At 58.9% G+C, this 27665-nt stretch overlaps 1 protein-coding gene and 2 long non-coding RNA genes across 29 annotated transcripts in view, besides 1 other annotated feature; 2 read left to right on the top strand and 1 right to left on the bottom strand.

The window, feature by feature from the left end:
• The window catches only part of TBC1D16 (TBC1 domain family member 16), a 103530-nt gene extending 94681 nt beyond the window's left edge, over positions 1-8849 (top strand). For 20 of the 27 annotated variants that reach the window (XM_047435346.1, XM_024450577.2, XM_024450579.2 and 17 more), the window contains one exon: positions 85-8849. In XM_047435346.1, the coding sequence (XP_047291302.1) occupies positions 85-333 (249 nt within the window). In that variant the 3' untranslated portion in view covers positions 334-8849. The remainder of the gene's footprint in view (positions 1-84) is intronic. The other 7 variants (XM_047435344.1, XM_047435342.1, XM_047435347.1 and 4 more) reach the window with 1 other exon arrangement.
• Positions 9461-9680: an enhancer, noted in NCBI's record as "active region_12925". NCBI's record gives its function as "activates an Ori minimal core promoter by ATAC-STARR-seq in GM12878 lymphoblastoid cells {active_cell/tissue: GM12878}" and the evidence as "EXISTENCE:reporter gene assay evidence [ECO:0000049][PMID:35858748]".
• On the top strand, positions 14467-25940 carry LINC01979 (long intergenic non-protein coding RNA 1979). The gene is made up of 6 exons (NR_110850.1): positions 14467-15491; positions 16121-16178; positions 19090-19242; positions 19566-19788; positions 21356-25005; positions 25779-25940. It is a non-coding gene; the product is annotated as a long intergenic non-protein coding RNA 1979 (long non-coding RNA).
• LINC01978 (long intergenic non-protein coding RNA 1978) lies at positions 17182-21835 on the bottom strand. The gene is made up of 2 exons (NR_110851.1): positions 21616-21835; positions 17182-18501 (listed from the first exon to the last, which is right to left on the bottom strand). It is a non-coding gene; the product is annotated as a long intergenic non-protein coding RNA 1978 (long non-coding RNA).
• Positions 25941-27665: the final 1725 nt, after the last annotated feature.

Raw genomic sequence — 27665 nt, 5'->3', positions numbered from 1 at the left:
TGCTGTCTTTGGCCACTCCCATGGGGACCCTAGGCTGCCAGGCTGTCCCCCGGCCCCTCCTCACCCCCCGTCCTCTGTCTGCAGGCGAGGAGTTTGCTGTACCAGTTCCGCCTCCTGCCCCGGATCCCCTGCAGCCTGCACGATCTGTGTAAGCTGTGCGGGTCAGGCATGTGGGACAGCGGCTCCATGCCCGCGGTGGAGTGCACCGGCCACCATCCCGGCTCGGAGAGCTGTCCCTACGGGGGCACGGTGGAGATGCCTTCCCCCAAGTCCCTGAGGGAAGGCAAGAAGGGCCCAAAGACGCCGCAGGACGGCTTCGGCTTCCGCAGATAGGTCGGGCCCCCGACACCGGACAGGGGTTGAGGGGACCTCCTCAGAGGCCCTGGGCACGGGAGGGGGTGGGGCTGGGCGTGAAGGGGACAGGGGACGGTAGAAACCTAAGGAAAATGCTTTTGGGCAACATGAGAGGAACCTTTTCATATTAATGACAAAATTAGAGTCTGGAAGTGACAGAAGTCAGATCTACAGCCACCCAGAGGAAAGTCAGCTCCTGAAACGCTGCAGTGGAACGCGCAGCCACCGCACCTGAGACGCAGGCTGGCTGGGCTCTCCTGCTGGCTGCCCTGGAGGATTTCAACATGTCCCAGGATTTGCTCCACCCTCGAGGGCAGCCAGACAGCGTCGCCAGGCAATGAGGAAAGCAGAGACAGGAGAGGAAGGCCTCACTCACCCACTGCGTCGAGGGCTGCAGAACACAGCGGGGTCCTGTCCAGGCCCAGGGACATCTTTGCAAGCCAGACACACTTCCTCTTGAGACCTCGTTCTCTCGGAGTGAGCCAAACACACTTCCCAAAACGTCCCCAGCCACAGCTGGGATGCCGATGGAAAGGCATCTGCCATAAAAGAAAAGCAAAAGATAAAAAGCCCAACCGATGTGGGGATAGAGAGGCGGAAGAGCAGTCAGGCTTGAGGAGCTGGCGCTTGTAATGTTTATCCGTTTAAACATTTCGTCCTCCTGGTACACGAAGGGAACTGTCTGCCCAGGAGCCTGAGCCTCAGGCTGTTGGAGAAGCATCTGATGCCTTTTTCTTTGCTGGGGGTCTTCTACGTGAGGTTCCTTGGCGTTGTTTAAGGTCAACTCCACCAAATACAGCAACCAGCTGGGGCTTGAATGGGTCGATGTGTGCGTGTGTCCCTGCGTGCATGCATGCATGCACACGTGCGTGCGTGTTTGTGTTTGCAAGATCCTCTGACAATGATCTGCTTTGTCCCAGGGACGTGGTAGTGTATTAGCTGACCAACCAAGACAAGGACACCTGGAAATAGTTAGACTCTTCCACTTCCCTTCAGGACCTGTGAACTCAGATATGTAAGTCAGCTTCTCAGGTGGTCGGACGTGAGAGCGACCACAGTGAAGGAGCCAGCACTCAGGGCTCTCTGCCTTCTATGTGGGAATGAGGTCTTCCCAACAGACTCTCCCTCTTCCAAAAGATTGTGTATCAGTTGCTCCTTCTGGGATTTAGAGATGGACAGAAAAGGGTGTGCGATCTATGCTGTGAGAACTCCCAGCCAGCTTAGAAGTGTCGAGCCATTTGCACAGAAAGCCACTCCTTGAGCGAGGAGACCAAATCCCTCCTGAAATCCTCCATCGCGTCCTTCTGGGGAGAAAAACCCTTGATGTGCTGAGAACCATCATGGGGACCAGGATAGAAGGCTTCTTCCCACTCAAAGCTTTTCTCCCTGGAGGGTGGGCACTGCTGGGCCATGCCACTTCAAAGCAGTGTTCCTCAGCAGGAAAGCGGAGGTCACCACTTACCGGCCTCCTCCACCTTCTCGGCTTCTCTTTTCTCCATGAACCCAGGTCGTCCAGCAGGTACTTCCAAGTTCCCAGGTCTGTCTGCCTAAGAGCCTTTTGAGGAGACCGTCCTGGAGCCCCATCAGTGCCCAGATCCTGGGGTACCGACCATTGCTGTCTAGCAGTGGGGGATCCTGTGGTGGGAATGGGGTGGGCTTCTCATCCATGTTGCTTCTGGGAAGAGAGGGTTGCCTTTCTGGGCTAGGGAGGTGGCTGGAGCTTCTGCCCTGACCCTCCGCTAGAAACCAGTTATATCCATTGCCACAGCAATACTGTGTAACAAATCCGCCAACACTCGGTGGCCTGCAACAGTCAGCACTGATCTAGGGCAGGAGTCAGCAGTCTGGGCAGGGTGATTCTTCTGGTCTAGGCTGGGCTTGTTTGTTTAGGGCCAGTGGGTTGTTAAGTCCCAGGGGATGCTCATGGTGCAGAGGTCGGACCTGGCCCTGCTCTGTGGTCTCTTGCATCCCTCCTGCAGGCCAGCCATGGCACAGCCAAAGGCACGGAGGGAGAGACAGCAAGTGCCTTTCCAAGCCTTGGTGGACACCACACCTGCAGCTCTCCCCTTGGCCACAGCAAGTCACGTGGCTGGGCTCAGCATTAAGGGGTGGGGGACAGGCCTGCCACTTTATTGTCCGCTCTGCACAGTCGGGTGGCAGTAGGCTGAGAATTTGGAGGGCTAAACAACTGGGACTCTGGAGAGTCTGTGTCCTAATAATGCCTGCTTTGGAGCACTCCTTCCCCACCCGCCTGCTCCAGGGGAATAGCGTCCCTGGTCCTAGCATTTCACTAGATACCTCGTGCCTTTGAACCGCTGTGTTTGGGAGGGAGGAAGAGGATAGACAGGTCCAGGGCTCCCCTCACTTGGGAAGGTCCTAGTAGAAGGCATTCCTTCTGAGTCTCCTGGCCCTACAGCTTCTCACCCCTGCTGCTCCCCAAGACCTGACCCGGACCAATCAGCTGCATCTCTGCACCAAGTGCCACCCCCACCGTGCACTGCTCGCACCTCACGCTCCCCATGGGCTGGCCCGGACCCCAGTGAGGTCTGCACCTCTCGGACCAGCCAGGACCTCGGAAGCCATGAGCTGGGTGTTCAGGGCTTGGCGGAGGAGACGCTGCTCCGCGGGGGATGGAGAAGCCCCGCCCCTCCACAACTCCCTTAATCTGGATGCAATTAGAGGAAACCAGCCAAAAACCCCGCGGCAGCTGTTGCCCCGGGATTATTCCCAGCCAGCGAGAGGCATTAGGGCGATAATTCAGTCATTAGACTTCTAGCCTTCCCACCGCCAGAACGTGCAAATAGGGGATAATCAGCCCTGCACGGCCATCCTCAGCAATGCTGCTTATTTAACCCATTTTTTAAAATGACACTTAATGTTATTGGCTGGCGTACGTGTGTGCGCATACTTAAAAGTTGATGCGTGGTGCAGCTCTGCTGCTAATGTCTGCTGACAGCGTCGCCCGATGTTGCTCAGGGCCTCTGGGAAGAGGGGACACCTTTGATGTGGGCGTGCTGGCACCCAAGAGGCAACGTGGTCAGGCTCGATGCTTGCCAGCCCTGGAAGGTCCCGCCAGGGTTGGGGGGTCGGGTGAGCACTCAGAGATCTGGGGAGGAAGCGAGGAGCCTGGTGTCCTCACCAGGTGCAGAGGGGAAATGCGTACTGCTCCAGAAGGTTCTGACTCAAGTCTCGGCCCTGAGGACTCAGAACTCACAAGTCATGGATCAAGTACAGAGGGAGGGAGGGCCCCAGCCCACCCCTGCGGGGGAGGAGGAGGGTCTGAAGGTGGGAGGGCAGCTCCATGAGCAGCCACTGTTCCTGACCAGCCGAAGTGCCAGGCAGGGGGAGGTTTCCATGTCCAGGAGGGAGAGGACCTCCACCCTCTGACCTTTCAGTTTTCCATAGCAGCCCAGTGTGAAGCTCGGCGGGGGTGGGCAGGGCATCAGGACAAGATGAAGATGCTGGCTCTGGAATGAGGACTCCCCTTGGGCTAAGGGGTAGTGGCTGGCAGAGGTTGCCCAGCTCTTTTGGAGGCCACAGGGAATAGAGGTGGGGTGGTGCTTCCGTTCCTGTGAGGCCCGCCCCCCTGAGCCCCCTCGTCTGCTTCTTGTTTGGCAGAAATAGATGTGGGGCACAGCCCCTAGATGATGGGAATCTGCCCAAGCTGTGCCCTCTGGGGAATGAAATCTTGCTCCTCGTGCAGCTTCCCCTTTCCCTTGCGGGGTGGGGGCTGGGGGTGCCAAGGCTCCACCCTTGGAGGGGGTTGCTGGGGGTGCCAAGGCTCCACCCTTTGCTCGCTGGGCAGAGGGAAGGAAGCACCTCCCTGTATGCTCTGCAGGGGCCCCTGCAGGCCACTTTGCCTCAGAGGAAGGAGGAGAGGTCCCCTGGGAAAATGCGCACACACACACACACACACACACACACACACGCACATGCACACACGCACGCATGCACACACACACACACATATGTGCAGGGGTGCAGCCTAAGTCAGTGGAGCCAGGACTGGCTGCGCAGCTGGGCCTGCCCCATTCTTGGAGTCCCCAGGGAATGAGCCTCAGGATCCACTTCGTCCCTTGTTTCTAAGCCAGGCTGCACGGCCGTTCCTGGGTGTGAAAGCATTCTGTCCTGTCTCCAGTCAGAGGGAACCGCCCCCAAACTAGAAAGCTAATTTCCCCCGAAGGTTCATGAAGCCAGAGGCATGCCCTTGGGGGTTGGTCGGGAGAAGGGTGAGAGGCAGTGCTGTGGAAGGGGCCTGGCCCCTGCTGCCTGCGATTCTCCCCGGGTATGTGGCCTTCTGCCTCCTTCAGCCTCAGTTTCCTCACCTGTAACATGAGAATAATGATGCCTGCCTGCCCAGGCCACCTCCTGGGAGTGCATTGGGGACTCTAAGTGTAAAACTGTCATGAGGATGGTTTATGAAGTCCCAGGGACCACACCTGCCACTCAGGGAAGAGACCGCTGACCTCAGCCATCAGCCGTGTGCATCGTGAGGGGCAGCGAGCTCAGGACGGAGAGCTCTCCCTTGGTTCGGAGTCAGCACACCTGCACTCCCACACGCCCACCCAGCTGTGTGTCCTCCGCCGAGGGCGAGCCTCTCTGTGACTCTTCTGTAAAATGCACCCCATTCTGCCCACTCCTGCCACGAGACCCATCCTCTGCGATCCCGCCAGGCATGTGTGTGTGAATGCATGTGCAAAGCTCTCCATCAGAAGGGTGGTGTGGGCCCTGCAGGTCCTACCCCTCGGCCTTGAAGCTCCCTCGGGCTGCGGACTCTGCCTCCTGGGTCTGAGCATTAGAACCAGGAGAGGGGTGTCCCTGGGCAGAGCCAGGGGTGCAAACAGCCTGCAGCCATCTGGCCTTTTAAGTATAGTGTGTCGCATTTCCGGGTAGGAAGGTAGCATTTCAAGTTCAAAGAGAGGTCAAGTCATGCAACCATCTTTCCTCCAGCACTTTTGGGGTAAGGAGGACAGTTTTTGTTATGGTTTAGGGGAAATTTTCATGAAATTTCCACCATTACCAATAGATTACTGATGTCCATGGCAAGTGATCTGTTCTTGGTATTTTGTTTTGTTTTGTTTTGGTTTTTAAATGTAATCACCCATTGGTCAGGCCCAGGACTGGTCACCATGAGCTCTGCTAGCCACGGCCCCAACGATGCTTCCGGCTCTCATGGATTCCACAGCAAATAAAACTGTACTGACAACAGATGCACGCTGTACAGTGCCTCTGGAAGGTGCGGTGGGACTTGCTGGGTCAAAGCACGGCAGGCTCTGTGCTGGGCAAACAGGGCCCCGTGGCAGCCCAAGGGCAGCCTGCAGACGCCAGTGTGCCCGGCTTCTCCCATGTTCTGAGATGGGGGAGGGGAAGGTGTAAAAGAGAGCTGGATGGGGGCTGTGGGGACTGAGGGTCCTGGGAGGCTGGCCAGGGGCTCAGCAAGCGCCCACTTTGGGAGGCCTTGCCCTCTGGGCTGTGGTTGGACAGCACTAGGCCTGCAGGCTGGGCTGCCAGGAGGAAGAGCAGCTCCGGACCTCAGGCCCCCCCAGCAGGCGGCGATGGAGGGTGATGGGAGAATTGACGAGTGCTCGCGGGGTCTCACTCGGGAAAGGGCCGGTTAACTCTGAGCAACTGGGAGCCTCGCTCCCACCCCAGTGCCTGGAAACACAAACAGTATTTTATTGAGCCTTGGCTGCCGGGGCTCTGGTTTCAGGAAAAGCCTCAGTCCTGCATTTGTGAATTTTTAAGGAGGCAAACAAGGTGAATTTGACCTTCCTAGGAGTGGGAGTTAGGGAAAATTCAGGCTGCCCTACCAAGCCCTTGGAACCGTGCAGCAGGGGTCAGGGGAGGGATGGGCAAAGGCGGTTTGGCCCATGGAGCAGGTCTCCTGGTCCTCCCGGAGCACGGGGGGCGGGGAGCTCCAGCTCTTCATCAAGCGCCCTTTGGGGTTTCCAACTGTTTTCTGTTGTTCTCTGTGTGTCTTTTCCCCTTTTGCCTGGGGGCGGGGGCTGGAGGGGAACATACCTCTTATCTACATCACTCGGGTCTCATGTCTGAAGGGCCTGTCTCACCTGCCACCTACCTGGCCTTGGCCTCGACATCTGAGCGCCTCATCACCTCCTCTCCACATGCCCAGGGGTGCCCCTCCCAAGGCTGGCTGGGCAGGTCCCACGGACTAGGCCCCAGGAGGAGCAGTGGGCTTCCCCCAGGAAAGAGCAGAGCCAGCACTGCCTGCCTAGGGAGGGCACCCACTACCAGGCATGGCTGGTGGCTCCGTTTAAAGAAATCTTTGTCCATGTGGGAGTGGGAGGTGCTTCCCCATCCTGCCTGGAAGCCACGTCCTGGCTCTTACCGTGGACTCTGCAACAGCCGTGGTGGCCACATGAAGATGGAGGAACCTGGTGGCTCAGGGGCCCCTGATGTCACCGCCTCCAAGGCAACGGGACTGGGCAGGGCAGCTCCTCAGGAAGGATGATCCCACCTGCACGGGTCAGCCCTGCAGGGGGACAAGGCCCACCACAACCCCACCTCAGGCCACCAACTGGACCTGTCCTGCCAAGAAGGTCCCTTCCAATTTGTCCGGCAGCTGGTTCCCTGGATACAGCCCAGACGCAGCATCATCCTCATGTTCACCTCTGCTGTGCCCTACTTCCCCCGTAAATGACAACTGTGTAGTCACCCACGCCGGGCAAGAGAACATAGGTGCCACCTGGCGGGCCACACTTTTCAGGGGCCGTGCCTCGGGCAGGCCCGGCTCTCTGTTGTCCCGCAGCCCTCAGGGCTGGCGGTGGCTGCTCAGTGCCTAGGGAGTGCCCTTGCCACACAGCTGGGCAGCGAGCATGACTCAGCGTTTACACTCAACCAGCCGCACAGGCTCCAGAGGGGAAGTTCTCTGGGGTCCTTCTATGAGAGAGCATCCTGTCTGCAGCCCTGTTCTGGCTCCTTCCACATCATTCATGCATTCATCCCACGAGGACTATGGTACCGTGGGCTCGCTCTAGGGAAGCAAGGCAGGAGCGCACTGGGGCTACTTGGATTCCCGGGGCAGACACATATGTACCCTGCACACCCTCAAATGAGCAAAGCCACCCCACTGGCCCCTGGGTGAGGCCATGTGGACCCCCACACCTTTGGGGCCGGCTGGGCAAACCTTGAACCCCCAATTTCTGCGTGGCCTTTGGCTGCCCTCCTTCTCCAAGGCGTGACTCTTACTCCAGAGACTCAGGCGAGCACGTGTCCCTTACCTTATTTTCTCTCAATCAAACTGAAACCCATTGTGATCCCCCATAGTCCAGTGCGGTCTCTGTTATTATTACGGGTGTCTCCCTTCCTCCCCGTGCCCAGGACAGGCCATGAGCCAGAGATACAAGGGGCCCCAGGCAAGATGCAGGGCTCTCTGCTCCTGGCTCTTTATCGTCGTCGGGACACCCTTTGTCCAAACTCAAGGAATCCCGGGAGGTCTGGCTTTGCCGCTTTGGCTGGGACTCAGGTACCTGGGCATACCTGCATCTGTGCCCCCTCTTCGTCCCAGTGAGACGGACCCTCAGTATCCCCCCCAACATAGAACAGGAAGGTCTCAAGCCAGCCCCCTCCTCCAGTTCAATCACCCTCCCTCACATCCACCCAGAGAAGTCCAGACCTGTGGCCACTTCCATGCCCTCTCCAGACCAGGAGACACCTGCTGCTGACCTCGTGGAAAACTTAGATTTTGACATTCTGATGCTTCGGAAGTGGTGGCTCCTCCTCCTTCACCCCTCCGCCACCTGTGGGCCTCCTCTCTGCATCTCAAGAGAACAACCAGATCTTTGGGCTCCTGGGGTGTGTGCCATGCAATTTAGACGAAGTGCTTTGAAAATATGCCATTCAGTCTCTGACTAGGAAAATAAGTCTGACCTGATAGGTCCGATGTCATCAGCTCTTCAACATGAGACAAAAGAGGGGATTTTATGTTTTGAGTCATTAGAATGATATAATAATTTTCTGAATTGACATCTGGATGTTGAAATTAGGATGGTGCAAAAGGGGTCCAGGGCCTCAGGCTGGGCGCAGCAGCCAGCTCCCAATGACGCAGAAGCTGCTTCAAAACCCCCTCAACAAAGAGGGGCACATGCAAGTCACCAAAGTGGGAAGCCTTCACCAAGGCCACACCCAAAGTCTACTGATTGTCTGTCCAAAGTTCGTTGATTCCTGGCCATGAACAAGCACAATAGAAAAAGACACAGGGTCCTAGTGGCTACAAGTCAATGTGAATTGGCACATGGTCTAGCAGTTTTAAAATCTGACAGTAGAGTATGGCAATGGGCAAGGGCCAAGAAGTCCTGAGATGGGAGGTCAGCGCTCTAACTGGGCTCAGTGGAGGTCTGTGACCAGTGTCTGGACACTAGCTACAGGGGACCGGGCAGAGGATTCTGGGCAGAAGGAAAATGTCTAAAAGTACTTTGGGAGGGTAAAGGACAGGGGCCTTATTTAAAATAAAGACTGAAGGATAATAAGTGTCACCCAGGTTTGTGGATTATTGGAGGGGGCACCATCTAGCCATTCTCCACTTTTCCAGTGTGGAGAACCTGGGCAAAGGCGCCAGTGGTCACATGAGGTGCTGCCACGGGGCGGGCTCTGGGAGACCCACTCTAGACCGCTGACCTCTTGGTGCCATCCATTCTGCCTCCTAGAACTCTGGGGTTCTGAGTGCGTGCTCTTGGTGGGGGCCTTCCTCTTTGTTGGGAGAGCCGCTGCTGAAGGGGCCTCTCCCTCTGGCCCAGGATGTAGAGGACACGTGAGGACTACACAAGTGCAGGGGTGGGTGCGGGGGTGGGTGCGGCTTTCCAGCCCTCGCCTTCACTGCACTGGAAGCCTGCTTTCTGGTGTGACCTTTGGGTTCCCTCTCTGCAAGCAAACAACCAGCTCAGACAAAACCAACCATGACCACATCTCAGGTGGGTGGCACCTGGGTCACCCTCCCACCACAGCCCCTGGAGCAGTTTCCAGGTACCTGGCCTCCACTGTCTATTCCACTCACCTCCTGCTGATGTGGACAACTTTAGAAATAAAGTACCAGGGACCCCAGACCACTAGGCAAGAGCCCAGGTGCCCCCTGGGAAATGCCACCACCCACCCCAAGAGCAGGGTGGGGTCTAGCTCCTGAAACAGTCTCCTCTGGGCAAGTGCTGCCTTTCTTCAAAGTCCAGGCGCCCTCTTGGTTGTTGGATAAATCCCCAGGTTCTGCCCCATGATTCATGTAGACGGGAGTTTCCCCCGGTTCTCTGTCTTTCTGCCTGGCTGGGCCACAGATGAGTGCCCCAACCCGGCAGACAAACAGAATTGGACTTTTAGGGTCAGAGGCAGCCAGCCTGAGATGGAGTAGGGTGGGGGCTGGGGAGGGTGTTGGGACCCCGGGAAGGGGATGAGGACATTCCAGGGGAGGTGAACTGTTTGTTTCCCTGGAGGGTTAGACAAAGAACCGAGCTCTTGCAGATTTTGCCGGAAATGCAACTAGAGCTATTGATAGGGTTGAGGATGGGGTCTTTCAGGGTGGGTGAGTCCCTGGAGCTGACTAAAGATTAGTGTTAGTGCAGGTCAGATGAGGAGCTGCCCCCACAGGTGTCGCTCCAGGTGCCCACAGCAGGGACAAACCCCCGCCGACCCCCTGCCCCACGGGAGCTGGTTGCAGCTTCCCCTCCGCCTCCCCCACCCCACCTCTCTCTGTCCCTTCCCCCGTGCAGTGGCCTCAGGGTGGCCACCCACCTGCTCCCAGGGGACGTGAGAGTGTTAGCAAAAGCACCATGCCCTTCCCCTCCACCCTCTGGAGCCTTCAGGGCAGCCCCAAAGCGGTCCCAGTGTCTCTGAAGGGGCTGGGGACCCGGAGTCTGAAATTCAGCTGATGGGTCACCAAACTGGCCTGGCCTCTGAGCCTCTGCACCGATCCTCTCACCCCATCAGGTACCTGAAGCTGATCCAGGACACCAAGGTCTGTTTGTGTGGGGGGGCTGCCAGCTCCCCAGAATCTGGCCCACGATGGTTTTGATTAGAGGAAACACCCCACCAGAAAGCATCCCAGAGATACCTAGAGACCCCCTGTGGCTTCCCCAAAGTGTCCCCTCCCCTCCCCACGACCTGAGAGGCTGCCATGCCCACGGCACGGGCCCCCTGGGGTGCTGTCCTTTCTAGAAAGCAGGTTCCAAAGGTGGGGTTCGGGCCTACTTGGCACAGGGAGGCTTAGACAGAAAGCGGGACTCCCCTCTGCCACGGCCCCCCAGACCCCGGCCGGCTCCTCGCGAGGCTGGACCCGCCTCCCCACCCCCTCCTTCGTGCGGTCCTGATGAAGGCGCCGCGTTTTCCGAGACGCAGAACTGCTGTGGGGTGTCTGCAGAGCCCGGGCTTCTCACCGGGAACTGCTCTCCTGGGACGGAGGGCGGCGGAGGCCTCCCGGAGCCCCCGGCCCACCTGAGGCCTTGGGGGCGGGGTCCGTGCGCCGCGAACCCCACCGAGCCGGGCAGGAGGAGGCGCATTTGGGCACAAAGGGACCTCGCGTCCTCAAAATAATCCTCGCCGCTAATTCCCATTCCAGCAGGAAGAGGCCGGCGCCGCTCACATCCACCCCATTTTCCGCGGAAGGGGCTTTGTTGCTTTTCTTTTGATTTCACCCCAGCGGGCGCGCGATCCCGCCCGGCACACGCCTGGCCTCCGAGCCGCTGCGTGCGGTTCTGCCCAAGTCGGGGAAGGAGGGGCGCGCAGAACGGGAGAGGGCTGGAGACGGGCACAGAAGGAGAGGAGAGGAGAAGAGAGGAGGGGAGAGGAGGGGAGAGGAGGGGAGGGGAGGAGAGGAGAGGGGAGGGGAGGAGAGGAGAGGGGAGGGGAGGGGAGGGGAGGGGAGAGGAGAGGGGAGGGGAGGGGAGGGGCGGGGTGCGAGAAGGGGCAGCAGCCCCCGGGCCCAGTCATCCAGCCACGTCAGGTGTGCGTCGGGTAAAGGTAGTAACCTGGTGGCGGTGACGAGGAGGCTGGAGAACGTGCAAGAGGAGGCCGAGCCTCAGAGTCCCAAAAGTCGGAGGAAACTCCCCACCTCCTGGAGCCTCCCACTTGCTGTAATTCCCTGCAGTGACCCACCCCACCCCAACCAGGGCAGCGAAGGACCCACCGGGCCCTGGCCCCAGGCCCCTCTGAGCCTTCCACCCACCCTGCCCAAGCCCTCACCCAGCCCAGCCCTAGAGCCCGCCTGTAGCCGGGACACCGCACCACTCCCTCCACCCTCACCCTCAGCCGCCAGCCCCTGTCTGTCCCTGTCCAGCCCACCCTCTCTCTATAAAACCTGAGCAAAGGCAGGAGACCCTCCCGCCTCAGAAGAGCAGCAGCACCCCGGGCTCCCTGCAGCTCTCTACGGGGCGGGGGTGCAGGAAGCCACAGCGGTGACCACCAGGGCCAGGGCCCAGCAGGCTGGGAGCTGCTGGCGGAGTGGGACAGAGTCCTCACCAACCGAACCGAAGTGCAGTCTGTCTGCCTGATGGATCCCTTGTCATGGGGACCCACAGGCTTGCAGGGCCTGTTTTTCTTGAAAAGAAGGTTTATTTGGGTCACTCTTAGGAGTTCATGCTGCTCTTTGGCCTTCGGCAGCTTGGCTCGGCCAAGCTGGAGCAGGAGGAGAGAGACCAGAAGACAGGCAGCCTGCGGGCAGGCTCAGATCCTGGGCTCCGTGCTCCCACAGTCTGACTCCAGCCCCTCGCCCAGACCCTGGCCCCAGCTCCCAGTGGAGGGACTGCCCGTCAGGGTGGGTTACTCGGCTCTTCCTTCTTGTGTGGGGTAAAGGGACCTCCCTGTCCAGTGCCACGCCCCTCCCAGGTGGCTGCAGGAGAAACCCCCCAGGGGCAGATCATCAGATGGCCCGCCTGTGTGAATAGGCCTCCTTGGGGAAACTCCGGAAGAATTGTTAAATATTTCAAGGTGGGAAGGGGACGTCAAGGTCATCAAGGCCCACTCCAGGTGGGGCATGACCCTCCCTGCTTTGGGCTGCCTTTTCTTTCTCCAGGGCGTGAGGAGCAGGCCATGTGGTCTAGACTCACTGTGTAGCCTTGGACGTCATGTCTGCCCCCTCTGGGCCTCAAGACGTGCCACCTCCATCCATGGTGGGGGAGGCTGGTGGGGGTCCCCAGCCAGACCGTTGGGTTTGGCCCTTGCCTTGGGAGGTGAGGGTGGGAGGCTAGGGGAGTGCTGAGCTCTGGGCTGTGTCCTGCTTAGCTCCCTCCTTTCCTGGAGAACGGTAGGAGCACACATTGAGCACCTGTTGCATACTAAATAGGAAGAGGATTTTTTTTTAAGAGGGAGCAGGCTGGGGAAGGGGATACTTGTTCTTGTCCCTGTGGATGGGTAGGAGCGGAAGCTGTCACAGACAGATTAGGGCCACAAGGGCCAACTTCCCAGCACCTGCCCCTTCCTCCCCTCCCACTCCCACTTCCCCATTTCACCCCCACTTCACTTCTCCCACATCTTACTCCATCCCCTACCTCATTCCCCATCCCACGCCCCCTACTTGGCTGCCCCCACACAGGACCACCTCCCAGGGCCTCCCACCCCACTTTTATGTTCTTGAAACCACAGACATGGAACCTTCATGCACCTGTAAGCTTAGAACTTGGCTGACTTTCCAAAGTGCTGAGCCACAAGAGGCCTCACACCTTTCCTGGAAGAGGAGCCAGCCCCAGGCCAGGCCTGGCAGCCTCTGGGCCAGGACAGCCTCTTCCACGACCCCGCCTAACCCTGCCTGCCAGACCTGCCCGCCACACCATCGGGAAAGTGTCTCCCTCCCCCTCGTCTCATGGCCACTCCTAGATCGCAGCACCCCTGGGGGTCAATGCACAGGGAGCTGTCACCACATGGCCAGGCCAGGGGTGTCCCTTCCTCTTGTCCTCAATGGTGTATGTGAAGAATAGTGCAAGGAGGGTCCCTGCGGGGCTGGCTCTGGCCCCAAGGCCTTGCATGGGCTGCTATGGCAAAGGCCCATCCCCACATACCGTGAGATGTTCCTCACTGGGGGCTTTGGATCAAGGGCACCCCATGGTACCAGGAGAGGCCCGTTCAATATGAGGAGAAAGGCCTGGGCTTGAACCCTGAACTCCTGGTTCCAGCACGTCCTGTGACCTCCCTGAACTTAGTGTCAGACGCTAGGATCCTGGTTATCCCTGCCAGAAACTTTGAGGGCTCCAGTGAAAGGAAGTTGGTCTCTCCCCCACATTAGTGCACCCACAGCCCTCAGTTTCCGGGCCATGTGCTCAGAGAGACACCCGCTCCTGCACCCCAGCATCTCTGTGCACACCTAGCACGTCCCTCCCCATCACGACCCTCCCCACATCCGCCACGCAGTGCCCCGTGATGCCCGCCCCCACCCGGGAGCCCGCACCGAGCCCGGCCCCAGCTGGCAGCCGCCTCGCGGTGTTTGCTGGATGATAAATGAATAAACGGGGGCCTCCTGGATGCTCAGCAAATATTGCCTGAATGAAGGAACGTCGCACGAATACAGACACACGAGAGAACACAGACCATAAAAGTGGCCGTGACCAGTGCTGATGGGCTGATAAGCGATCTCGGCGCATGGAGGCACTCCACAGGTCACCATGGTGGGCCCGGGGGGGCGGGAGAAGTTTCTGCTCACAGCCGGATTTGAGAAGGCCCTGGTCGCTCTATGGCAACCTCTGCCTGTGCACCATGGGCCCTTTAGTTCTGTTCGAGGCCCCTCTTTTGCTGTGTGACCTTGGACAAGTCACTTAGCTTCTCTAAGCCTCACTTTGCTCACCTGTGAAATGTGGACAGTAACTGTGCCCACCTCCAGTGCCCATTTCAGGAACCAGAGGCAAAGCATGAAGGGCCAAGCACAGAAAGCACTTCCCGTGGGCCCGCCTGTTGGAGACCCTCACGCGTCAGCGCCCGGAAATGACACTGGGAGCTCAAGGCCAGTGGTGGCCCTTCCAGCAAACCGGACACCCCAGGGGACGTCTGGGCAGTGGGGAGTGGCCTAAGCAGATGAAAAACCTGGGGCCCACAGCTTGGAGTTCAGGTCCTAGCCATCGGCCCCCATCTCTGTGCCGCCGTATCCCTGCCCGGGCAAGGGGAGGACAGTCATGCCATCTGTGCGGGGTGGACAGGCAGCGTCTGTGGGAGAACCAGCATCACTAAAGCAGACAATGTGGGAGGCCCTCACCCGGGAGTCCCTCGGGGAAGGGCAGCTGCTTCAGGAAGGAGGCCGGAGGGTCCCCTCAGTGCAGGAAGCCAGCTCAGCCGCCCCAGGCCCAGATGGGGAGGGGGCGAGGTGGGGGATATGGAGCCGGGCCCCCTTGCAAGGAGCCCTGTGCAGATGCATGCAAGGACAGGGGCTGGCCAGCCCCAAAGCCCAGCTGTGTGGCCTGGGGCTGCTCTGGAGGGGCTGCTAGCTTAGCTATCTCGGGGCCTTGAACTTTCTATTCTGTTTTGCAATCAGTTCAGAAGGCGGCATTGCTAGATTCCCTTCTTATCACAGAGAAACTTCTAGCACAACAATAGCTGATTGTACTGCTCTCTGGGGTGCGGCTGCATTCCTGGACACCCCCCACGTTTTTTTTTTTTTTTCGTGGTATCTTTGGAACTATAATGGATCTCATTGTGATTGGTCTGTTCAGGGGACAGTGTGGCCCTTGAATTTAGAAGCGTGAAAGGGTAGTGGGGGCTGGGGAGAGGGTGGCAAAGGAGAGTGGGGGTGGGAGGGAACCCAGAGACAACCCGTGAGACAGCCAAGGGACATCTCAGAGCATCTCGGCGGCGTCCTGTTGCATAACGCACCTGGAAACTGCATCCCCTGGACTGGCTGGGTTTGAAAATATGTAGTTATTTGTCAAACCACCAATGTTTATTTTCATTCAGTTATTAAGAAATAAAAAGGGGTAGATAATTTTCACTCCCTGCCTGTGCCTGTCCGGCAGGACTCGGCAGCAGGTCGATCCGGCGCAGACTCATCTGAGTGCGACGTAGCGGCAGCCAGTCACATCGTGTCCTCCGGAGGCCGCCTGCTGCTGCGCGGAGCCAGCGTCCAGGACCTGGGGCCGGGGGACCAGAGCTGGGACAGGCCCAGCCCCTGGGCGGCATAGCTATGTGGCCCCGGGAACACTGGCTCTCCAAGGCACAAGGTCTGTGAGTGTGTCAGGTGGGGAGCCCAACCTGCTGGGGGAACCCCCAGCCCCACAAGTAGGTGCCGGCCACTGGCAGGAGGCCCTACACTAGGCCTCACAGTCCTGCCTCTGGCCCAACAGCCTGGGCCCCAGGAGAGTGCTGCTCTGGGTGCCACCTGCCGCCACGGTCCCCTCAGCCCCTGGGGACTTCCTGCCCCACCCGGGCTCCTGAGAAAACCCTGGGAGGGATTTCTTAGAATGTTCAGCAGTTGCTGCCCAGCCCAGGACTTGGCAGGAGCCCCAGTGTCCGGAAGAGGGAGCAGATCAAGTTCCGAGGCCGGGAAGCCAGGCGTGCTGGCAGGGAGGCTGCGGGCCAGCGTGGTGCCTGCTGGGTGTGGATGCTGGTACTGCTACTTCATGGGGAACGTCCGGTGGGCCTCCTGCCACCCTGCCCCTTGGTGCCCCTGTCTGTAAAGTGGCACCTCCCAGGCCCAACCCTTTCTTCACTGGCTGGCCAGGGTTCAATGGGAGCAGGTTTCGTTGGCATGTAGCACCGTGCCTGAGACAGAGAGATGGCTCACAAATGGTCGTCACTGTTGTTAAAGAAATAAATATGCTTAGAGAAAATGGCGTTTACTCTCTTCCAGGCGTTTTCACCGGCTGCGTCCCATTCAGTCTTCCCAGCATGATCCCAGCTCGGAGAAGGTAAGGGGCCTGGTCAAGTGTCCTGGCAGGGGCTGAACCCAGATGCATGGCTGGCTCGAGGGGCCATGTGCCACAGAGGCTCACCTGTCTGAGGCTTTATTTCTGCTCTGAAACCCCTTCTTATCAGGGGCAGGGGCACCCCAAGGCCCACAAGACAAAACACAGACATCAGAAGAGAACCCTGCCCCAGTGTCATCTTTCCAGGTGGCAGGGGCCTCCGAGGGCTTGGGCTCTGGGTGGGCTCGGACTTGGAGAGCAAGAGGGGCAGCCAGGGAGGGGCCCACATTGGGGACATTCAGAGGCCACTGAGTAGGGGGTCTGGGAAACAGGGGACAAGGCTTGCTCTTCCACAGGCAGGGCAGGCAACCTTGCACTCTGTGGAGGCCCTGCTGGACTCGCTCTGAGACAGAACTCCCTGTCACTGTCCCGTGCAAGAAGGCCTGGAGGGGGCGCTGCAGAGCAGGTGCAGGGTCCACCAGACGCCTTTGGAGGCCCTGCAGAAAGGCCAAGGGTTCTGAGATCTCAACTCAGAACGAGAGGGCTTTCCTTTTCCACCAGTCTTGGGTGCCAGAGAGGTGGGGAGCCCAGGCCAAGGGACGGCCAAGGGCTGAGGAAGCACCCAGGATCCCAAGAGAAGCTGGCAATACATGCATGCACGTCTCATCCTGACTCCTGGGAGAGATAAGAGCACCTGTCCCCCGGTGTTGTGGACAGAGCCCGTGAGCCACCGGGCAGAGCCATGCATGATGAGGCTGTGGCCTGGCCAAGAACAGCCTGTGTCCCAGACACCAAAGAAGACATGGTGTTTGAGAGGTGGAGACTTTGGAGCTGGTGGGGACAGCCAGGAATGTTTCCTGGGAGAGGTGACGGACGCTCCTGCTGGGCAGAGGATGTCTCGACGTCTCTCCTGCTAGCACACAGACCGCATTAGGAGAACAGCTGAAGACGGCCTGTGGGGACACCCAGACTCTTGCCAAACAGGTGGCAGAAAAACCTAAGCTGGTTTTTTTTCCAAATAATTTATTTTTTATTTTTTATTTTTGAGGCGGAGTCTTGCTCTGTCACCTAGGCAGGAGTACAATGGCACGATCTAGGCCCACTGCAATCTCTGCCTCCCGGATTCAAGCGATTATCCTGCCTCAGCCTCCTGAGTAGCTGGGATTACAGGCATGCGCCACCACACCCAGCTAATTTTTTTGTATTTTTAGTAGAGACGGGGTTTCACCATTTTGGTCAGGCTGGTCTCAAACTCCTGACCTCAGATGATCCACCCATCTCGGCCTCCAAAAGTGTTGGGATAACAGGTGTGAGCCACCGTGCCCAGCCTCAAATAATGTATGGAAGGGAAGTTCATATAACATAAAATCAACCAGTTTAAGGTGTACCATTCGGCGGCATTTAGTACCCTCACAAGGTGGCACAGCCATCATCTGCAGTCGCAGAACATGCTGGTCACCCCAGGAGGAAACGCCCGCTCATTCAGCAGTTCCTCTTCACCCCCTAGCCACTGGCACACGGATCTGCATTCTGTGTCTATGGATTTGCCTATTCTGGATATATCATATCCTAAGGTGTTTTAAAAAGAGGATTAAAGGGCCGGGCACGGTGGCTCATGCCTGTAATCCCAGCACTTTGGGAGGTAGAGGTGGGCAGATCACCTGAGGTCAGGAGTCCGAGACCAGCCTGACCAACATGGGGAAACCCCATCTCTACTAAAAATACAAAAAATTAGCCAGGCGTGGTGACACACAACTGTAATCCCAGCTTCTTGGGAGGCTGAGACACAAGAATGGGTTGAACCCGAGAGGCAGAGGTTACAGTGAGCTGAGATCGTGTCACTGCACTCCAGCCTGTGCGACAGAGCTACACTCCATCTCATAAAAAAATTAAATAAAAATAAAAAGAGGATTATAGAGCCAAAGCGGGTAATTGGGTTCCAGTCCCCAGCCCACGTTTCCAGCTGTGTGGCTTGTGCACAACACTGCATCCGCCCGTCTCAGTTTCGTCATCTGTAAAATGGACATAAGAATGTCCACAGTGGGGTCGTCATGGGGGTACAGGGCTCATCCAGGCAGAGCACTGAGTGCGGTGTTCCAAGGCCGTGGTGCACTGTAGCTGTTGGTGACACGGGTGTCAAGTATCAGGTGTCAGGGTGGTGTGGGACATGGACAGCCAGGGGCCTGGGAGAGCAAAGGCTGGAACGGTAGACCTGGCTCTCCACGGAGCACGGCTCATGCACGGAACCTCGAACAGGCCACAGAATCCTTCCAAGTCTACGTCTGCCCCTTCCTACCTCCGTGACATTGGGCTTCAGTTTCCCCATCTGTGGAATGGCAATGTAGACCTCACAGTGCTGGAGGGACTGAGCCTGGCATCGTGGCGGGCAGAGTGGGGGGGGGCGGGCGACGCCCAGGGAGGGGTAGGGCTGTGGTGGGGACCAGTGAGGCCTTGAGGGCAAATTCCTGGAAGGCATAACGGCTGGCCGATGCCAAGGCCACAGTGATGGGGAGTTGAGGGGAAGAGAGGGGTGGGCCTGGGAGCAGGCAGGCAGCCCCGGCTCTGCTTGTAAGCAAGTGGCTGAAGGCCTCCTGTGCTGGCTCCCCTGGCAGGCGATCCATCAGCTCAGCTCTTACTGTCCGGAGCCGGCGAGGGCCCATAAATGCGCCCGACCCCACCCCCGCTGCAAGTCACCCAGGTTTTATGTTGTAAGAACACCGTGGGGCGTCTCAAACACACCACTAATGACAGGCATCATGAAGCAATAAAAGTGATGGGGCTGGTGGGAGGGGCTGGCGGGAAGGGCGGGGGGCTGCTGGAGCCCGGCTCCCCTGGCAGCGGCAGGAGCTCTCCGAGAATTGATTAGTCTTGGACGTGCTGACCTTTTTGTTCTTGAAAAATTGCTTTTGAGCAGCTGAGGCAATAAAAGTGAATTGATTCAGAGAGAACGAGGATGAGATTTGCGTTGGGCAAGGAGCAGTGCATAAACGCCAGTGATGTCAGCACAGCCGCCCCCAGCCCCAACTCCTGGGCTACAGGAGGGCAAGCCCCGGAGAAGCCGGGCAGGGTGGGTGCTGCGGGGAGGGCCGGCGGGACAGTGGGGCGGGCAGGGCCTCCTCAGAGGTTTCAGCGGAGAATTGAAACCGATAGCGAAAAGGGGAGGGCAGAGGGACGGAGATGAAATAAAACAAAGTGAGAGCGTAGGGAGAGGAAGAAGCCGAGAGAAATAAACACCCTGCAAGAGAAGCAAGGGGGACTTAGGCTAGACCTCGGGACCGCAAAAGGGAGGAGCTGGAGGGGACCTGGGGCAGGAGTGAGAATCACATAAGCACTCACAGGCACGACAGCCACACTCATCCTCACAAAGCCTTGTTTGTGCCCATTTTACAGAGTGAGAAAGCCGAGGCCCAGAGAGGTCAAGGAACCTGCTCAAGGTCACGCAGCTGGGACGTGGTCAAGCCCCACTGAGTCCCTCTGAAGCCAGGCTGGGGCCTCCAGTGAGTGGGGAAAGCCTAGAGGGGGTGCCGCAGAGCACGCACAGGATCCACCAGACGCCCTCGGAGGCCCTGCGGAAAGGCCAAGGGTTCTGAGAGCTCAACTCGGACCTTGGCAGGTGGGGAGCTCAGGCTGGGTCACCGTTGGCATTGAGAAGGCACTGGGGCAAGGGGATGTCCCCCGGGTTCCAGGTTAGAAGCCACAGAGAAGCATCACAGCCAAGGTTTCCGGGTGCGGAACGGTGGCGCTGGGACTCAGCCACCCTGGCCAAATGCCCCCACTCCTATGCGCCCCCCTCTCAGCACCTAAGCCCGTTTCCTCACCAGAGCCCTTGGGAAACCGCAGAAGCCCAGGTGTGTAAAGGCAAAGGGGAAATGCTCGCCTGCCCCAGAGCCAGCCGGGAAGTCCTTGCTGGAGCTGCTCTCCGGCGCTGGGGTACCTGGGCGGCCACATGCTGCCACCCAGGAAGGCAGGAGACCCAGACGCCTCCCCAGGATGCTGGCAAGCCCCTTCCCTTCTGAGAAAACAGAGGTGGCAAGGCCTCCCCGGCCTTCTCTGGGGGCTGGGCGTGTGTAAAAGCTCACCTGTGTTTGCAGGTGCCTCAGGTGGGCTGCTGAACTGGAGCCTGCCCCAGTCCCAGGAGAGAAGCTAAGCCATGTTTCACACCTGCAGCTGCCCAAACCCACTTTCTACCAGGATCCTGGCACAGGCTGCTTGGCCAAGTTCATCGGCCCCACTGCTGGGTTTGGTGCTAGTTAAGATGGGGACGCCTGTAACTTTTTGGTTGGAATGCATGGCCCTGAGTGGTGACTAAACCCCAAATCAGGCTGGCGTCAAGGGTGGCTAATGTCTCCCTAAAATGCAGGCACTGCATGGGGGGACCCCTAGTCACAATGACTGCCAGCAGCTCCTAGCTTGGGCTCTGTAGGCGACCAGCTCCCAGGGTCCAGGAAGAGGCATGTCCAGCTGCTGCCCTTAGCCCCCAGCCGACCCCAGAGGGACCAGCCCAGAGTTGGATGTCACTTTGAACATCCTGGATCCCACCTGAAATGACCCTGCCACCCACCACCCACAGGCACTGTGTTTTGCTGAGCTGAGCACAGCCTCTGGTTTGTGCCTCAACAGATGCCTCACACCTGCAGGCCCTCTCTCCTCACCCAGCCCCCGGAGAAGGCCTTGCTGCCTCTATTGTCCCAGAAGGGAAGGGGCTTGCCAGGATCCTGGGGAGCAGCCTGGGTCTCCTGCCTTCCTGGGTGGCAGCACATGGCTGCCCAGGTGCCCCAGTGCCGGAGAGCAGCTCCAGCAAGGACTTCCCGGCTGGCTCTGGGGTGGGTGAGCGCTTTCCATTTGCTGCCTGCACCCCTCCCCTGCCCGCTGCAGGAGGGGCTTCGCTGAGCCGCGGGGCACCCCCGCCCCACTCGGGGCTCCCCGGGGCGCAGGGGCCTGGGGCGTGCGGGTTGCCAAGCGACCGGCTGTTGCCAGTGGAGACGTTTGCGCAAAGGCCCCCCTGGGGCATCCCCAACCCAGACGGCCTCGTGGGGCAGGGGTGGCGAGGAGGGTGGGCTTGGGCCCCCGTGCTGCTCTGGGAAGCTCCTTCCCCCACCTCACCCACCCCCGTGAGTCCCCTCACACCTGTCCATGCCCCTCGGACCCTCGATGGTCCTCACGTGCCCTTTCTACTCTAGGGGCCCAGGAGGACGACAGGACAACCCCCAGGCTCCTCCCTGCCTCGGTGACCCTCCCCACCCCACCCCACCAACGTCTGAGCAAGACTTGCTGGAGCCAATGCAGGAGAGAAAGCTGCTGTTGCTACCGCCAGCCCAGCTCAGCTCCAACCTTCCTGGCTGTTGGCCTGCGAGGGCCCCGGGAGGATAGAAAGGGACATATTTCAAGGGAGAAGGGACGTTTCCTTACAGGGAAACAAGCTGAGTGGTCCGTAACATACCTGAGGCGTTATTGCGAGGGACAGGCAGAGCTGGACTGGGGACCCAGGCTGCTTGACATCCGGTGAGGGCCGCTCCTCCCTCTGCCCACTCGGTGACTAGCTTGCTGGGTAGCACCGGGCAAGGCTGTCTCCCTCTCTGACTGCTCACTCCCAGCTGTAGAGAGAGGTGGTTCCTGGATCACGGAGCAGTGCCTGCCTAGGGTGCAGGCCTGGGCTCGGCACAGGGCCGAGAAGCTGCTGCTCTGCCCCGCCTCCGGGAGAGGTCCTGGCACTGCCAGCCCATGAATAAGGCCTGGCAGGGCGCCGGGCGAGGGTGTGCAGAGGTCAGCGGGGAGGGCCGAGTGGCAGCGTTCTTGGGACTGGCTGCCAGCTGCAGCTGGACCTGTTTGCCTGGGCTGGGCTGTCTCACTTCCCCTGGAGCGGAGAGAACACTGGGGAGGAAGATCAGGCGTGGGCAGTGCTTCAGGGGCCCTTGAACTCCAGGATGGCCAGCTCCTGCCACAGGGGACCCAGCCAGCCGTGGCCAGAAGCCAGGGAGCCACATGCTGGAGCCGAGGACAGGCTGTCGTGAGATCAGTTCCAGCCCCTAGCCCCCTTTCCCTGCAGGCCTGGCCTGGGGGGCTAGCACAGGCTGCCAGGGGAGGTCTCTTGCCCTGTGTGACAGGGGGTCCCAGCCTGTGGCCTGCAGCCATCGACACCACAACAAGATCCTTGCTGGGGTGTTCTGCAAAACCTCAGGAACCCTGTGCCCACAAACACTGCGTGAAAGTCACCAAGTAACCCTTCTGTGATTATTCATTCATCTGAGGTTTGCTCAGCAACTTTCAGTCATCTCAATCCTGTTGCGATGAAATGCAAAGTCCTCTGACAGCGTTGTGGGATTGGGAGTAAGTGTTGCCTTTAGCAGGTACCAAAAGTGCTACTGTTATCTCAAGCAGGTGTGTGACTTTCTATGACTTTAAAAGGGACCCTCCCAACTTCTGGGAAGCCAGCCCCCTCTGATCTAGCCAATGTACCCACCACTACCCATATTTGCCTCTCTCCCTGGCACCCAAGACTGGTGGAAGAGGAAAGCCCTCTTGTAGAGACAGCCCCACTTGTCCTGATGGAGGCCATGGCTCATCCCCTCACCACATGGCCTCACTGGGCTGGACCCTGGTGCATGGCTTGGGAAGGGAGGGGCAGCTCAGGACCTGAGACAGCACAGGCCGACCACCCCGTAAGGATGGGAAGGAAGTCAGGAGTCCATGCAGTGGCACAGGCCAGGGAGGGTGGACGTTGGGAGGGGGAATGGAGGCTTGGCCTGTGCTGAAGGAGAGGGGTGGAGGCGGGCATTGGGGTGGACCATGCTCTAGTGGGGAGGTCTGGCCAGAGCAAGCAGGTAGATGCAGTCACGGGGAGTCCAGTGAGGCGGACAGCCCTTCGCCCTCATCCGGTGCTCAGTGGTGGGGTGCAGTGCGAGCTTCCACCTTCATCTGTCCCCCACACACCACCACAGCCACAGACCACATTGCCCTGCCCTGGATGCAGGAGGACACCTGCACCTCACAAGCCAGCTTGGACAAAACCAAACTAGAAAAACGAAATGCCAGGGTCACTACTGTGCCTTCCACCGAGGAGGTGACGCGATGTGTGGATGGCGGCTTGCCTCTGTGTCTGTGCAGGGTGGGTGTGTTTGTGTGTACACCATCCACAGGCAGGTGCTCGGTGTGCAGTACATGCACACACACACACATGCACACACGCACACACATGCACACACACGCACACACAGACATGTACACACACATGCACACACATATGCGCACACACACACGTACACACACAGAGGACAACATTTGGGTCAATGTCTTGCTGGGGTCTATTGGTAACACACTAAGCACTTTGCAAGGGAAGGAACTTTCCAGGGACCCTGAGCAGTGTCCAGTGGAGAGGCTGTCATCTCTGCCCCACAGCCGGAAGTGGCACCTCCCCACCCTTGTGCACAAGAGGCAAATGGACACAGGCTCCCTGAGGCCCCACACTTCCCACAGACACCCCCCTTCCCTCACAGTCCTGGGTAGCTGGCATTTTGGGCCAATCCACAGTGGCTTTAGTGGTTGACCATGGCTGAGAATATTTTGGGAACTGCCTTTTAGAATCCGTTGACAAGACACACAGACGCTGCTGTCCCGGTACTTTGCAGCCTTATCCAGGTTCACGTTGGTTTTCTCTGGATTGGGCAGTAACTCCTCCTTCCCAGGGGATGGTCATCTTTGTGACCCCACCCGGGTGGCTCTTTCCGACCATCCTCTCCATCATGGGAGAATCATGGTTTCCCACCAGAAAGGCCACCCTGGTCACATGTGCTGGGATCTGGGAGAGGAGTTCCTGATGCAACCCTGGTGTCGGCGGGGCCACGGCACCACACAGGAAGGCCAAGCCAGCTGGAGAGGCCACAGTCCTGAGGTGTGTGTCACCCCGATGTTTGTGGAGCCCCTTACAGCCAATGCTGGCAGTGCTGGGAACGCCCATGTGGAAAAAGGAGATGAGTTCCTGTCCTTGGGGAAGAGCTCATGGCTGTGTTCTTCTTGGGGAGCACCGTGGCCGGGGAGAGGAATACAAATTCTCTCTCACCTTTTATAACCCCTCCTTCAGGCCTTACGGTGAGGACCCATCCAAAGCAGAACCATGCCCAAAACAAGATACCAACAAGGAAGCATGGTGTAAGCACAGCTCACCGACAGCCGTTTCATATGGGGCTTCAGAACACCCAAGAGAGCTTTGTGTGACTCCATTGACTTGAGGTGTCCAGAATGGGCCAATCCATAGAGATAGGAAGCCGATTTGTGGTTTGCCCAGGGGCGGCGGCAGGAGGGGAATGGGAGGCAATGTCTCATGGGTGCAGGCTTTCTTTGAGGGTAGATGAAAGTGCTCCAGAATTAGATTATAGTGATGCTTGCACAACTAGAAATTTACTAAAAACTATTTAACTGTATACTTTCAATGGGAGAATTTATGGTATGTTAATTATATGTCAATAGAGCTGTTAAATATTTGAAGTATCATGGGGAAATGGCGCTGAAGGTATTCATCGGTATGTACTTTCTGATTTCATTGTTTAAAAAAATATGTGCTCATATATAGTAGAAAGACTAGAAGGAAACACATCGAACGTTAACGGTGGCTTTGTCTGAGTAAAGGAACAAGAGAATGTTTTATTCTGCACGTGCAAACAGCCAGGGGGCAGGATCCGTCTAAAGTTGGGGTGATGCTGCCATCCTACAGCCCAGCCTCTGGACCAGCCCCTCCCTGCCCAAGGTGACCTGTGACTCAGCTGCAGCGGCATCCAGCGGCCAGGGGTCAGCCCCTCCCTGGGAAGGGAATGCTGTGGGCCTGCAGGGCGGGCAGGTGAGGCCACAGCGGGCGTGGCTGGCAGGTGAGACCTGCGGGCCCCTCTGGCTGTGAGCTCCAGCCGGCTCCCCTCAAAGCAAGCAGGCAGGAACCGCTGTAATTACCGCACAGGCAGGCGGGCGGGCGGGCAGCACCCCTCCCTCATTCCCGAGGAGAGGTCACCCCAGTGCCCTGGCCTGTCCCAGTGGCATCGTCCAGCAGCACAGTCGCCAGGCTGCGCTTGACCCTCCAGGAGGGGCCAGGAAGTGGAGCTGGCCCAAGAGGGAGGCGGTCAGGGGACTGAGGCTGGGGCCTGGCCTGACCCTCGCTCTGAGCCCCCTACAAAACCACAGCCCCTGAGCCATGATGTTGCCCGTCTTGCGCCTTCTCATCTGTCCTCACCTGGCTTTCCACCTCCACCCCCAGCTATACCCAGAGCCTTCCAAATGGCTTTGAGGCCCTCCTCCACCTGCCCCTCGACCCTCCAGCCCCTGGCCCCACCTCCTCCTCCTGCGTCCCTCTGCTCCCTCACTAGCTTCCTGCTGCTTTGCAAGCCCCCGGACCCACCTTCCACCTGTGGCTTCATGCTGCCACCCTCTCCCTGACACTCGGTTCCTCCAGACATGCTCATGCCTGGCCCTGCCGCCCCACCCAGCTTTTCCCCAAGGTCATTTGCACGGCAGCCTCCTCTGACCACCCACCCAAGCAGGTGCACACACATGTGCTCACACACATGGACACGCACCTGCAGTCCTGCTCTCCCAGCCCCTCCTTGTGCTGCCTCTCCCCAGCTCTGCTCTGTCCACTGTGTTTTGCCACCTGGTCGTTTTGCTGGCTGCCCAGCTCTGCTGTTAGGACAGAAGCGCACGAGACAGGGAGTCCTACCTACCTGTTCCCAGTTGTGACCCGGAGCTTTGCAAAGGAGCTGGCTCAATAAACGTATGGTGGATGAATGAATGAGTGAATGAATGAATGAATTAGTGAATGGATGAATGAATGAGTGAATGAATGAATGAAGTGGGGCAGTGGTCCTGCCTAGTACTCCGGACTGCACACAGCCTTGTAAGGGAAAGTTCCTGGGGAGTGGGGTCATTGCTGCAGGCACTGCCTGAGTCACTTGGTTATTCCTGGCCACAGAGGACATCCGAGGCTGGAGTGGGGCTGAGCTAGGGGGGCCTGAGACTGGGGCGGCCACCTGACCACACAGCGGGTTGGGGGGGCTTGGGGAGGCCATCGTGGGTGAGTTCAGCCCTGGTGGGAGCAAAGAAGGGGTGTCCAGGCCCCAGGTGGCAGGTTTTCAGAAGGCAGGTGGGGTGGGCCAGGGGTCTGGGGTCAGGCCTCCTGGACACAGCGCTTGGGGACAGGAGGCCGAGGTCAGCCTGGCTGCTCTGGGAGCTCCCTGGCCCTCAATCAAGGGAGTCAGTCTCTAAATTGGGAGCTGAGTCCTGCTGATGGGGATGCAAAGGCGGATGTCTCTGTCTGCTCAGCCCCCGTGCAGCTGGCCGGGGAGCCCTTCCTCAGGCCCCAACTGCGCAGGCGACAGGTATGTGACCATGAATAAATAGCCACAATTATCCCTCCCCTTCCGTTACCCTGCTGCAGGCTGGTGGAAGGGAGGAAGGGCAGCCTGGCGGCCCCTGCTGCCTCCAGAACCCAGGGGAGCCCTGGGGATCACAGGTGCAGCCAGCAGCGGGCACTGGCCGGGGAGGGCCAGGTCGATGGTAGGCTCACAGTATGGACCGGCTATGGGCTCACCTCAACATAGAGAAGTCACTGGAGGTAGTGACAGACACCAGAGACCAGGGTCTAAATCCCAGCTCTGCCCCTTTCCAGCTGTGTGACCTCAGGCAAGTTGCCACACCTCTCTGGGCCTTGGTCACCTCCACTGCCAGAGAGGGTGAAAAATACTGATCTCTCAGGGTCAGGGCAAGGCACAGCCAAACAAAGAACAGATGCAAAATGCAGGGGGTGGCAGGGGATGGCAGGGGGTGGCAGGGGATGGCAGAGGGTGGCAGGGGTGGCAGGCATTGGCAGGGGGTGGCAGGGGATAGCAGGGGCAGAGTCTGTGCTGAATATGTGACCGCTGCGGCTGTGCTTCTGCTCCTTACTCTTGTCAAAACCATCATCATTCTTACCACCCATTGTAGTATCTCCAACCGCAACACGGGATCGGTCCCCAGGGCCCACCCCTCGGTTGCTGAGCCTCCTCGCCGAGTCTATACACGCATCCCTGATGACCCAGGATATGTTAAGCTCCTTCTCATGGAGCTGAAGGATTTTGCCCCCAAACCTTTGTCCACTTTGCAAAAGCTCCCAGCCCCCTCCCTGCCTCCTTCCCAAACGTATCCACTTGCTCTGCAGCCACAACTGCCCCCTCCCCCTGCTTGGACAGCCCCCGGAGGATGGAGGATGCTCTCAGTCCCCAGGGTGGGCTTCCCAGTCAGCTCCCTCAGGCCCTTGGTCCCTGCAGAAAGATCCCCAGTCTCCAGCATCAGATAGGCCAGCCTGAGCCGAGCAGCCTCCGAGCCAAGGAACAGGCTGGTACTCCAGTTTCCCCAGACCTCGGCTTCCCCTCCTGCAAAATGGGATGACAACGCTGGCCTAGTGAGAGCGATGAGGGAGTGTGTCCCAGGGCCACCGGCAGAGCCTGCCCAGCAGCCTGCACTCTGATCTTGGGG

Source organism: Homo sapiens, chromosome 17 (assembly GCF_000001405.40).
Source record: "Homo sapiens chromosome 17, GRCh38.p14 Primary Assembly".
Classification (NCBI taxonomy): Eukaryota; Metazoa; Chordata; class Mammalia; order Primates; family Hominidae; genus Homo; species Homo sapiens.
Note: the sequence above shows the minus strand (reverse complement) of the source record. Positions and strands in the feature narration are given on the sequence as shown.